Consider the following 12,697-nt stretch of genomic DNA (forward strand, 5'->3'; position numbering starts at 1 on the left):
TGGAAGGGGCCCCAGAGGCTCTCTGGTCAGGGAGGCTCCCTTTGTGTGAGTGTGTGCATTCACATGTGTGCGCCTCTTGGAAGAGAGGATTCCAGGTTCTTTCAAAGCTCAGAGAGGTTTGTGATTCCCAGAGACCAAGAACTGCAGGTCTTGTTCATTTTACAAGCAGGAAAAGCCCCGGACAGCCTGGCTTGACTTACAATGTGGCCAATTTGCTTGCAGTTGAACCATTCCCATAGTTTCCTTCAGGAAGCAGGTCTGGCGGGCTGGGGGTGGTGGTGAGGGAGGTGTCAGGGACATCTGTCACTGGTGCCCCTCCTCCTGGGGTTTTCAGGAGTAGGCCCAGGGCTGGTACCCCCTCACGATGGCCCCACACCCAGTCACAGCCAGTGGAGACCACAGTAGAGGGGAGGGGACTCCTCTGGGCTTGGTCCTCATTGGTCACTACCTGTGGCCCAGGTGCCCTGGGTACTTGGGCCTCAGGAGAGGACCGCTTTGGCCACCACGTCCACCGCACTGCCACAGCTCCCCTCACTGTCCTCACCCCCCTCCTCAGTTTCCTCTTGATGGTCAGCTGGCCCGCCCCCTCCTTTCTTGCAGAAGAGGAAACACAACACAGCCCTGTGACTCTTCAGGGCTCCCAGTTTTCTCTGTCTCCGCCAGGCTGGTGGGGCTTGCTGCTGGGCCCATTGGGGTGAGATGTGTGGGCCCCACAGCCTTCTTCCTGCCTGCCCCGGGCTCTGAGGCTCAGGGACCTGGAGACCCCTCTTTTCTATCCGCCTCTAACAGGATGAGTTGAGCATGGAGGTTTCTAGACTGGGCCTCCTGGCAGTGTCTCTTCCCAGCCCCAGGGTGCTATTGAAGGGATGCGAGGCAAGGAGAAGGATTCGAGCCAGGAGCCCCGAGGAGGGAGCTGCTTGAGGGACCTATTGCTTGCAGGTAAATTCCTGGTTTTGGAGAACCCAGGTGGCCCCCAATCGCCCCCACTTTCTGCGCCTTCCGACAGGTGGCAGGCGGCAGGTGCTCTGTGCATATATGTCCCTTTTTGAGAATTCGCTCTGAGTCAAGGTGGCTCATCCCAAGGCTCCTTAGACCTCAGGGAGCACCTGCGATTTTACAGCAAGTACCCATGCACTCTCCCGCTTAGACCCCACGACAGCCTGGCCGGGTGGCGATTTCAACTGACATTTTGTATAAGCCTTCAGGGGGCTGAGTGACTTGGCTGAGAACACCCAGTGGGACAGCAACAGAGCTGGTGAGAGCACTCACTTTCCAAGCCTTATTCCAGCACTCTCTTCCCAGCCCTGGGGAAGCTTTCAGGTCATCTGGTAATGGCAGAAGCACACAGCCAAGACGTGTGTGGAGAAGCTGCGGGTAAAACCCCTCTCCCCCTCTCTATTCTCAGCAAGCAGCACAAGGGACCCCTCTGAAGGTGGGGAGACCACGACCCTGCTCACCGTTCAGCCCCTCTGCAGTCCCTACCTCACCAGAGCAAAGTCACTCACCACCCTCTTTCTGGAACACACTTGCCCTAAGATACCCGCTGGGCTAATGGGCTTGCTTCTGTCACATTTTTTGTTTTTTTGAGATGGAGTCTCACTCTGTCACCCAGGCTGGAGTGCAATGGCACGATCTCAGCTCACTGCAACCTCCACCTCCTGGTTCAAGTGATTCTCCTGCCTCAGCCTCCTGAGTAGCTGGGATTACAGGCGCCCACCACCACACCGTGTTAATTTTTGCATTTTTAGCAGAGACGGGGTTTCACCACGTTGGCCAGGCTGGTCTCAAACTCCTGACTTCAGGTGATCCGCCTGCCTCGGCCTCCCAAAGTGTTGGGATTACAGGCGTGAGCCACTGCAGCCGGCCATGTCACATGTTTTCTAAAGCACCGACTTTTCTGTAAGGCCTTGGCCATCTCACTGTTCAAGATCTCTACCTGCCCTCCCCACTTTCTCCCTATCCTGATTCCCCTTTCCCTGTTCTTTGCAGTTATGTTTCCTGCCACGGCTCCCCACCTCCGGAACATCTGTGCAATTTACTATCAACCACGCTGTCACCCATGCCCCTTTGATCTGGAGCTTCAGCCACACGAGGGCTAGGTCTGCATCTGCCTTACCCTCTGCTACGTCCCAGGGCCTGGCACCTCTAGGACCTCAATACTAATCTGCTGAATGAATGAATGAATGAATGGGCTCTTGGGGAAGCACCTTTGGGATCAGCAGCTGCCCAGGACCCTGGGAACACTGGGCAGACCCCGGGCGGGGAGTTGGGTTCTGTTCCCAATGAGCAAGTGGCTCATATCTTTGTTTCATCCATCAGAAACCAAGCCTGTGCCAAGCACGGTGACAGGTCTACATGGGCCCATTAAAGCCTAAGGAAGAAGGAAGTACTTTGTGGCAATTCAGCCGAAGCAAGGAGAAAATTCAGAAAGATTGTGATTCCCCTTTGCAGTTTTTGCCAATTTCGTTTCTTTTGGTAGTGAGCTTATGGTCTTTATTTCACTATTTCTGGGGATTTTCTTCATGGCTGTACTCATGGGTTTGTGTGTGTGTGTGTGTGTGTGTGTGTGTGTGTGTGAGAGAGAGAGAGAGAGAGAGAGAGAGAGACGGAGTCTTGCTTTGTCACCCAGGCTGGAGTGCAGTGTCATGATCTCGGCTCACTGCAACCTCCGCCTCCCGGGTTCAAGTGATTCTCCTGCCTCAGCCTCCCGAGTAGCTGGATTACAGGCACGTGCCACCACGCCTGGCTAATTTTTTTGTATTTTTAGTAGAGACAGGGTTTCACTATGTTGGCCAGGCTGGTCTCGAACTCCTGACCTCATAATCCACCTGCCTTGGCCTCCCAAAGTGCTGGGATTACAGGTGTGAGCCACCGCGCCTGGCCTGTCCCTGTGGGTTTTATGATAGCATTACACAGAGTGATTTCAATAATGAAGATCCTGCCTGTTTGTTCTTGCTAGCTTGGGAGCCAGGCTCATTACATAGGGAGGACCAGCCCGGGGGCCTGGATGTGATCTAGGACTGGAATTTGGACATGGGAGCTTCTCCTGGCACCAGATGGGGAAGTGAAGGGAAAAAAGCTGGGCCAGAGACCAAGTTCTGTGTCAGGGGGTGCATAGGATGACCCATCTGCTTCTAAACTCCTTTCCCGAGTTCTCCACCCACCTCTTCCTCCCCCAAGGGACACTGGCCTCCTTGCTGCTCTGGGGCCACGTCAAACACACTCCTGCTTCGGGGTCTTTGCACTGGCCGCTCTCACTCCCAGAGAGTTCTGCTGTCCCCAGAGATGCCCGTGGCTGCCTCGCCTTCCTCCATGCCTCTGCTGACAGGTCGTTTTCCAAGCATCCTCACCTCCTGATGCTTCCCACTCCCCTTCTCAGCTCTTCCCCTGAGGCATTCATTGCCATCTGTTAGATTATACACGTGCTTGCTTATGTGCAAGGAGTGAACGGATTCTGTTCTTTAGAAGATGGGGAGGGAGGCTCGAATCTGCAGGCCAAGGAATGCAGAGGGGCAAGGACATCCTAGGTTTCTGATTTGAGGATCTAGCTGGGGGTGGAGCCATTTGCTTCAATGGGGCACTGAGGCGACACTTCCCTGAGAAGCTTCTGGTCTCCCCACTTGCATTGCTGCCCACAGTGGCCCCCATCGGCCCCCTCTGTAGCAGCTAACCCATTGCCAGTACCAAGCAGTGCTTGGCCGGGCCCCACTGATTCTGTGGCTGGCTCAGCTCACTTGCAGCCCCCTGGATACTGCCCTGAACTTACTATTAGGGGCTGAACTGTGCCCCCACCCTTCATATGTTGATGTTCTAAACCCCCATCCCTCAGAATGTGACTTTATTTGGAAATAGGATTGTTGCAGCAATAATTAGTTAAGATAAGGTCGTACTGGAGTGTGCTCTAATTCAGTATGACTGTGTCCTTATAAAAAAGGGAAATTTGAGTCCAGGCGCAATGGATCATGCCTGTAATTTCAGCATTTGGTGAGGCCAAGGCAGGAGGATAACTTGAGTCCAGGAGTTTGAGACCAGCCTGGGTAAAATAGTGAGACCCTCATCTCTACAAAAGTAAAAGTAAAAATATTAGCTGGGCATGGTGGTGCATGCCTGTAGTTCCAGCTACTGGGGAGGCTGAGGTGGGAGGATCATTTGAGCCCAGGAAGTTGAGGCTGCAGTGAACCTTGATCCAGCCACTGCACTCCACTCCAGCTTGGGCAACAGAGCAAGACCCTGTCTCAAAAAAAAAAAAAAAAAAAAAAGAGTGGGGCAGGCGGACCTTGAAGACAGGAAAAACACCACATGAAGAAGGGGAGGCAGAGATTGGGATGATGCATCTACAAGCCACAGAATGCCAAAGATTGCCAGCCAAACCCCAGAAACCAGGAGAGAGGCCTGGAACAGACCTTTCCCTTGGAGTCCTCAGAAAAACTAACCTGCTGACACCTTAATCTTGGACTTCCAGCCTCTAGAACTGTGAAGGAATACATTTACATTGTTTTGTTTGTTTGTTTTTTGTTTTTGAGACGGAGTCTCACTCCATCACCCAGGCTGGAGTGCAGTGGCGTGATCTCAGCTCACTGCAACCTCCACCTCCCGGGTTCAAGTGATTCTCCTGCCTCAGCCTCCCAAGTAGCTGGGATTACAGTCATGCACCACCACACCTGGCTACTTTTTTGTATTTTTAGTAGAGGCGGGGTTTCACCATGTTGGCCAGGCTGGTCTCGAACTCCTGACCTCAGGTGATCCACCTGCCTCGGCCTCCCAAAGTGCTGGGATTATAGGCGTGAGCCACCGCATCCAGCCCATTTCCATCACTTGAGCCACTCAGTCTGCGAAACTTCGTTAGGACAGCCCTAATGTCATTGCCAAGCACAAACTGGCCAGTCCCCAGCCCTCACCCTGTGCCCTCCGCTGTTCTGACCTGTCTCATTTGCCAGTGGAACCTTCATTCCTCAAATAAGGAGTCGCTTCTCTGAGTCTCCAGTTGATCACTTGAAAAATTAGGATAATAATACCCACCTCCTACGGCTGTCACGCTCCTTCAATAAAATATGACAGAAAATGCACCTGGTTTGTAGCGATGCTCAGTAATTGCTGGCGGCAGTAATGTGACAGTTATTTTTACTGTTGTTTTTATGAATCGTGTTATTTTAATTAGCTGTCAGTTTCCAGGTCTGAGCTGGCCATCCTGGAGATAAAAGAGCCTCGTGGTTAGGGGCTCTGCTCACCACTATGTGCAGGGGAGGAGGCCACCTTGAGGATAAGGGAAAGATCTGCATGCATTGTGCAGACATTCACTCATTCACCACTTGTTGCTGCCTCTGTGCCCACACAATACCATGTCTGCCCCAAGGACGCAGCTACATTAAAAGCAATTGCAATGCTGCACGATCAGGGCTCTGAACTCGGGGACTTCGGGGGTCCAGAGGGCACCTGGCCCAGCCTGGAATAAGGTGGCATGTGCAGGAAGGCTTCTTGGAGCACGTGGCTTTTGAAATAAACATAAAAGGAAGAGAATCCAAGCTTCTGGGCTCCCAGCTTATTTGCTGTGTGACCTCGGGCCAGCCCCTTGCCTTCTCTGAGCCTCCTGAAATGAAAAACCAGGAGCAAGAGTTCACAGGCCACCAAGGCCTGCCCCCAGGAGAGACTCAGAGTTGTCACATCAGTTGAGCCTCAGGGTCCCCAGACTGTGCTGTCAAAGCCAGCTGAAGTAAAGATACTGGTTCCCCTGCAAGGGAGTCAGGCGGGTCATGCTTACATTCCAGCCAGCTCCCAAAGCTACATGCGTGAGGATAAGAAAAGAAACTCCAACAAACATCTGAAACATTTCACGGCTCCCTGCCCCGCTGTTCCAGTTGGAGAGAAAACAGAACGCTGAGCCAGTCTCGCTGACGACCCACACGCTGCCGCGGCCGAGCCTGGACCATCCAATGGCATCCTGGTTCTTTTCATTCAATTTAGTCTCTGCGGTTGGCCACCTGCCTGTCCTTTTGAGCACTGAACTCGAGGGATAAATGGGGAAGCTGGAGCTGGGCAGATGTCACCGTTTCTGGGAGTTGCCGCTCGCTCACCACCTGGGATTTTGTTTTCCCCGTTGGAAGACAGAATATCCCAGCAACGTGCAATCCTTCTTTGCTGGCAGGTTTAAGGCCTCTTGTAAACAAGAGCCAAAGAAGGAGAGAGAAACACACTTTTGCCGTGTGCCTGTTCTGAGCCAGGCTCTGTGCGGCGCCTGATATCCTTTCAATCCTCTGTACCTATTTTACGAATAAGAAACGAAGAGGCAGGGAGCTGAGAGAGCCCCCTTGGGAGGTGAAATTATCACTTGGAATGTCAAGCTTGCTCTAAACCAGGACATGGACTGAGATTTCAGGGCTGAGCAGTTTCGGGGGGATGGTTAAGCTGGTGGAGGGCTAAGGGGTATGTGTTAAAGAGAAAAATTGCACCTGACCCGTGTTTAAAAATGGCAAAGAAGACTTTACCAAAGATGATTGTAACAGCGAACAGAGTTTGAACTCAACCTTGAAGACAGGAAGGACAGCTGGAAATTTATGGCCAAGGAGCAGAGTGAGGGGCAGTGGATGGAAAATTACTCAGAAGGACTAGATTTGACATCAAGGGTAGAGGACTTCCTGCTACCCAGGCCCGGTGGGATTCTTGCTAAAGGGACAAGGACTTAACGATCAAGAGTGGGAGAGAGGAACTTGATCTGAGATCAAGGGTGGGGGATTCTCTCCCTGAACTGACTTAGCGGGATTCTTTGCCAGCCAAGGTCAAGGCCTGTGCCAGAAGAGGGCTCAGAGACACCTGGCTAAAGTTTGGTCGAGGACGGCGCTCTGTCACGTGGAGGGGGAGACACTTAGGAGCAGGAGGTTGCGCACCACAGTGTGAATGTCCAAGTCTCCCCAGGGACGTGGCAGGGCTTCGAGGTATCCTAGGAGGTGGTGAGGGGCCGGGACAAATGCCCAGAGCCAGGGGGAGGTGGCGGGGGCACGCTGAGGATCCAGCAGGTACTGGACCCAGAGGTCTGGGGACCCCAGTGTGTGTGACAGACCCGAGGTTCTCAGTCGAAGTTTGGGGTCAGCAGGGGAGGAAAGAGATGCTGAATTAGGTTGGCAGGGTGAGGGCGGCAAAGGGCTCAGTGCTGGGTGTTGCTGAGGCAGTGGCTCAGGCCCCCTTGGTGTCCAGAAGGCATCCTCTGGGTGTCCATCAGGGACAGTACCAGTCCTCCGCTGTAACTGTGTGCACCTTAATGGGAGCCATCTCCCCAGTTTCTTGCTAACAGAACACAGATTTGGTTAGGCGGCAATGTGCCTAGGCCCAGAGGGACCCCAGGATGAGCACCCTGGATGAGGGGTAGACCACACGTGTGGGGACATGCGTGTTACCTGGGCCCCCACCTGCGGTCCAGCAGACCTTGGTGAGGTTGGTGCTTGGGACTCCTCAGCTGCAGAGCTGAGTCCCAGTTCAGCCGCTTCCTGGTGGGGTGAACTCAGCCCTTGCTCAACTCAGCTTCCTAATCCTGAAAACAGGTAGTGAGGACACTTACTCCCCAGAGAGAGTCATGAGGATTTCATGGGCCCAAGCTCGGCCCATGGGGTTAGCGATGATGGCATGCTGCGGGGCTAGCTGGAGAGGAGCCATCCTCCCCATGGGGCTGCATGGGCGTGTGTGCAAAGGGCCAGGGGCAGGCTGGCTGAGGCAGCCTTCAAAGCTATCCGCTGGCCGGGTACAGTGGCTCACACCTGTAATCACAGAACTTTTGGGGGACAAGGAGGGCGGATCACAAGGTCAAGAGATCGAGACTATCCTGGCCAACATGGTGAAACCCCATCTCTATTAAAAATACAAAAAGTAGCTGGGCATGGTGGTGTAAGCCCGTAGTCCCAGCTACTTGGGAAGCTGAGGCAGGAGAATCTCTTGAATCCAGGAGGTTGCAGTGAGCCGAGATCGTGCCACTGCACCCCAGCCTGGCGACAGAAGAAGACTCCGTCGCAAAAAAAAAGCTACCCTGCTTTGCAAAAGCTCTCTCACCTTGGCTCCTGCCAATCCCCTCACTGCCTGCAGGACACAGGCTTCCCCCAAGCCTATTCTCATTCCACAGATGAAGAAACCAAGAAAGCGAGGCTCAGAGAGGCAAAGCAGCCCACTTAAGTCTGGCAGCCGGTGAGGAGTACAATGGAGACGCAAGTGTGGGCCTTGCCCTGCCCCACCCGGGGCTGCAGCAGGGTGGGCTGGGAAGGGATTTCTGAGACTGAGAACGGCGTAGGCAAAGGCTCAGAGGCAGGAAGGGGCCTGGAAACCCAGGGCACGCGAATGTTGGGTAGCATGGTGCCGAGCTGGGAAAGGCGCCTCTGGGGAGAGCAGGTCATGCCCAGACTGTGGCCCAGGGTTTCTGTAAATGGAGCTTCGCACAGTAGGCCCACGGCAGCCAGTGTAATTTGGAGAGAAAATTCCAACCGGATGAAAACAAATGTTCTTTGCTACTGCAGCTCCCTGCCCTGCAGGCCATCTCAGGCTGTTACAGCTGGCGGCCGGCTGGAGACTGCGAGCGGCAAGGAATTCGGAGCCAGGGCCAGGGCAGTGCTTCATTCCAGTGGAAACGTGTGCTAGCTGCGGATTTCTGGGTGGTGTGGTATGGGCTGGAGCCGGCTGGCATGGATGGAGGCACGCAAGGACGTGTGGGGGCTAGATCTGTCCCCCCAGGAATCCCACCAGCTTCCGTCATGACTCAGTTCTGGGACAGCCGAGGGCTTAGGAATTGGCTTGGGCTTTGCAGAGCAGACGTGGAAAGGTCAGCTCCACACTGGCCCAGTGTGGAGGCTGGCAGGGCCCAAACCAGAAAGGAAAAGTGGCCTGGCTCTGGCCTCGGTGATCTTGGTGTTCGGGTGTGTGCCGGCGAGCCTGCCTTCTCATCGGGGGGTGTGTGTGCCCCCAGGGCAAGGACTGTGCCCAAATGTGTCATTGTCGAATTCATCCAACAACTTCCGAACAGCAGTTGTGTGCCAAGCCCAAGCGGGCACTGCGGGTGCCAAGGTAAATAGGTCTCAAGTTCTGTCTCCTCCCAGCTCCTTCCAGCACTGGGCTCCCGACTGGCACCGTCAGGCTCTGGAATGAACCAGGCCTGGGTTCAATTCTGCCTCAGCCCTGACTGTGAGAGCCTGGACAAGTCACTGTCTCCCCTAGACCTGGCTTCCCCTGAGAAGGGCAGGGGTAAGGGTGCTGTCGCAGCAGTTACTGGGGTAGTGATCCTGGAGTCTCGAATAACTCAGGCTCTTTAAATCCTAGAACTCTGATGAATCACCCATGCTATGGGCTCGGTTATGGCCCCCAAAATTCATGTGTTGAAATCCTAACTCCCATACCTCCACATGTGGCTGTACCTGGAGACAGGGCCTTTAAAGAGGTGACTAAGTTAGAATGCAGTCAATGGGGTGGGCCCTAATCCAGTAGGACTGGTTTCCTTATAAGAAGAGGAGACTGGGACACAGACACCCACAGAGGGACAATCAGGTGGCCAAAGACACTGGGAGAAGGTGGCATCTACGCACCAAGGAAGAGAGGCCTCAGGAGGAACCACCCAGCTGGGACCTTGGCCTCCTGAGTGGTGAGAAGATGGCTGTCTGTTGTTGAAGCTGCCCCGTCCATCGGTGCTGCCTTGGTATATGGCAACTCGAGCAAAACACAAGCCGCACTGCAGACCTTCTCAGGCTGGAGTCCCCCTGCAGGGTACCCGCCGTGGGCCCCTGGCTGGCAGTTTTACTGGGGTTCAGTTCTAGAGGAGGCAGGGCTCCCAGCCCCAAGCCTGTCCAAGACGATTCTCTACCCAGAGGATCCCAAATGTTTCTCTCAAAGGAATGCCTTCCACCGTCCCTGACAGAGCACAGCCAGGGGTTAGTTATAGCCAGGGGTTAGTTACAGCCAGGAGTTAGTTACAGCCAGGGGTTAGTTATAGCCAGGGGTTAGTTATAGCCAGGGGTTAGTTACAGCCAGGGGTTAGTTATAGCCAGGGGTTAGTTACAGCCAGGGGTTAGTTATAGCCAGGGGTTAGTTATAGCCAGGGGTTAGTTACAGCCAGGGGTTAGTTATAGCCAGGGGTTAGTTACAGCCAGGGGTTAGTTATAGCCAGGGGTTAGTTACAGCCAGGGGTTAGTTACAGCCAGGGGTTAGTTATAGCCAGGGCCCGGCTTCTGCCTCCAGGGACTGTTCTTAGGGACGCTCTAGTTCCAAAGATACTTTCGGCCGTAGCATCCTGGTTGAAAAACCACATAGAGGAACAAGCAGTTGAGTGAGCCCTGGTGGGTCCATTCAATGGAGTCCAAAGTAGCTTACACCAGTTGGTCTGAAAGTTACACCCAGGGAAATGCAGAAGGTGACCGATGCCTATTGAATGACCCTCCAAGCAGCGCCTGGCTCCAAGAAATGCTTTCTGTAAGTTATCTTGTTTATTTTTCTTCCTAAGGAAGCTAGATATTTTTGTCCCTATTTTACACACAAGACTAAAGAACATCTCAAAGGCAGGGATTTGGTCTCCCTCACTTCCCTTCCCAGCACCCAGGACCCAGCACAAGGCTCCATCCAGTTGACCATAGCAGCAAACATGGGCACCCACTGGCTGTGTGCTGGCCACACCCTGAGCCCTTGACATGGGCTGGCTTATACCATGCTCAATGCCCATGGCAAATACTGTGTCAGACCCATTTCACAGATAAAGAATCTGAAGCCCAGAGGGGCTGTGACTTGTCCAAGGTAAACGCCTAGAACGTGGGGGTGCCAGGAGTCACCCCTGGCACTGCTGGGCTCCTAGCCCAAGTGTGCAGACGCTGGCTATCCTGCCTCTCAGCCCACGGTAGTTGAAGGACTGAATGAGCGAGTGGCCCTGCTACGTCCTGGCTGCGGGGTCTGCAGTAAGTCCCCTAGACCTGCTAAGCCCCAGTGTCCTCATCTGTAAAATGGGCTTCCCCCGCTCCCCACCAGGAGCTGCCTTGTGTTGCTGAGAGAGATGTGGCCTGATTCCAGAGACTCGGCCTCGTTGGGTGGACTGCCGGCTTTGTGGGGGCAGGGAGGGCGGGGAGCATGGGGCCATCTGCAGCCCCTGGTGCCTGACTATGAGTGTCTGATGAAGGACCTCACCCTAGGACTTGGGGCCCTCAAGGCATGGTGACTCACCCCGGCTCCTTCCTTCCTCCATGGCCCTGTGTCACTGGCTTAGGAGCCCCCAGCTCAGCAGCCTGCGTGAGCGAGCCCCAAGTGCTCTCAGACCAGCCCAGGCTCACACCCAGGACATGAGGCCACGACGACCACCTGGCACATCCCTCTGCTCGCCACAGCCCCGGCCCTGATGGCTCCCAGCCCTCTGGAAGGGCCAGCCCGGCTGGATCAGGAACGCCAGTCCGGAGAGTAATGAGGGTTCCCTGTGGAATGAGAGAGACTCCACATGGTTGGCGGCGGCGCCTGGACGGTAGCCAGCACTTTTCCAGGGCATTCCGGGAATCCCGCTCTGGCCCCTTGTCTGACGCACTTTGAGTCAGCACTTGAGCCAGACGGCCGCTCTGGGCTGGCCAAGAGACAGGCCAAGCGTCCCCACAGGAGCGCTAGTTGTGTGAGGGAGCCCAGAGTCCCCTGACTTAAACGGGCCTGGCTCACTGCCCCCATTTCACAGATGAGAACACCAAGGTCCAGAGGCAGGGCAACCTGTCCACCCTGGATACTCCCTGTCAATCATCAGAGTGGCTCCCCTCAGCCCCTGCTCACCCCATCCTCCATCCTGCCGCATTTATAATTGCAGTGGTGGGATCATCCTGACCCCACCTCCCCCTGGGGGGGCTCGCCCTGACCTGAGGAAGGAGGGGCTGGGCCTCAGGCACAGGGAAGAGGCCCTGGGACTGCCACATCCCAGGTCACACACCCCCATCCCCGGGGGACAGAGGCTTCATCTGGTTATTTATGGAACTGCCACTCTGTGCCAGAGCCTGCCCAGGACACGGTTTCTGCCTTTGAAGACATGCATGGAAGGAGTGACCTCCAGGCCAGAGCGATAAATGCCGAAATGAGGGGAGCACAGTGGGAGGACGGAGCACAGGGATGGAGGCGCTGGGGACAGCCTCCTGAGTCAGCCAGAGAAGCCAGCCCAGGGCCCGTGGCTGCTGGGGTTCAAGCAGAAGTCCCTCTAGGCAGCGGCCCCTAAGGTTGTCAGTGGGGCCTTGGCTGGGGTGCGAATGGGGGTAGGACTGAGCCATCCCCCACAAGCCAAGCCAGGAGGTCACCCTGGAGGAAGGGGCCTGACTGTAATTGGTACAAGGGTGCAACATGAGCTGGTAGCTGCTTAAGGAGAAGGATGAGGGGTGCCAGCCAGCCAGCCAAGTGCTTAACAACTGTCCCCTGGGGACATCTTGGGGTTTATGCTAAGGTCTGGGAACAAACTCTGGGCTACTCTAGGAGCTGTGGGACAAAAGGACTTGTTCTTTCAGCCAAATTGGACCCAGAAGAAAGGGTGGATCCTGGAAGCTGGAGCAGGGGGCGGCATTGCCAATCAGGAACCCATGGGGAGGGTCTCCAGGACCACCCAAGAGGCCCAGCCTCAGCTCACAGCCGTGTCTGTCCAGGGAGACCCGGCGCCCCCGCTCCCCTGCCAAAAAAATCCTTCCTTGCTTCCCTGGGCAGGCCCAGCCCTGGAGGGGCAAGAGCAACACCCAGC

General features: G+C 55.2%; 1 annotated feature.

The window, feature by feature from the left end:
• Window positions 410-1,339: an enhancer, noted in NCBI's record as "H3K27ac-H3K4me1 hESC enhancer chr22:44748529-44749458 (GRCh37/hg19 assembly coordinates)". NCBI's record gives its function as "activates a minimal SCP1, AML or CMV promoter by ChIP-STARR-seq in primed H9 embryonic stem cells {active_cell/tissue: H9 hESC(primed)}" and the evidence as "EXISTENCE:reporter gene assay evidence [ECO:0000049][PMID:30033119]".

Source organism: Homo sapiens, chromosome 22 (genome assembly GCF_000001405.40).
Source record: "Homo sapiens chromosome 22, GRCh38.p14 Primary Assembly".
NCBI classification, from domain to species: domain Eukaryota; kingdom Metazoa; phylum Chordata; class Mammalia; order Primates; family Hominidae; genus Homo; species Homo sapiens.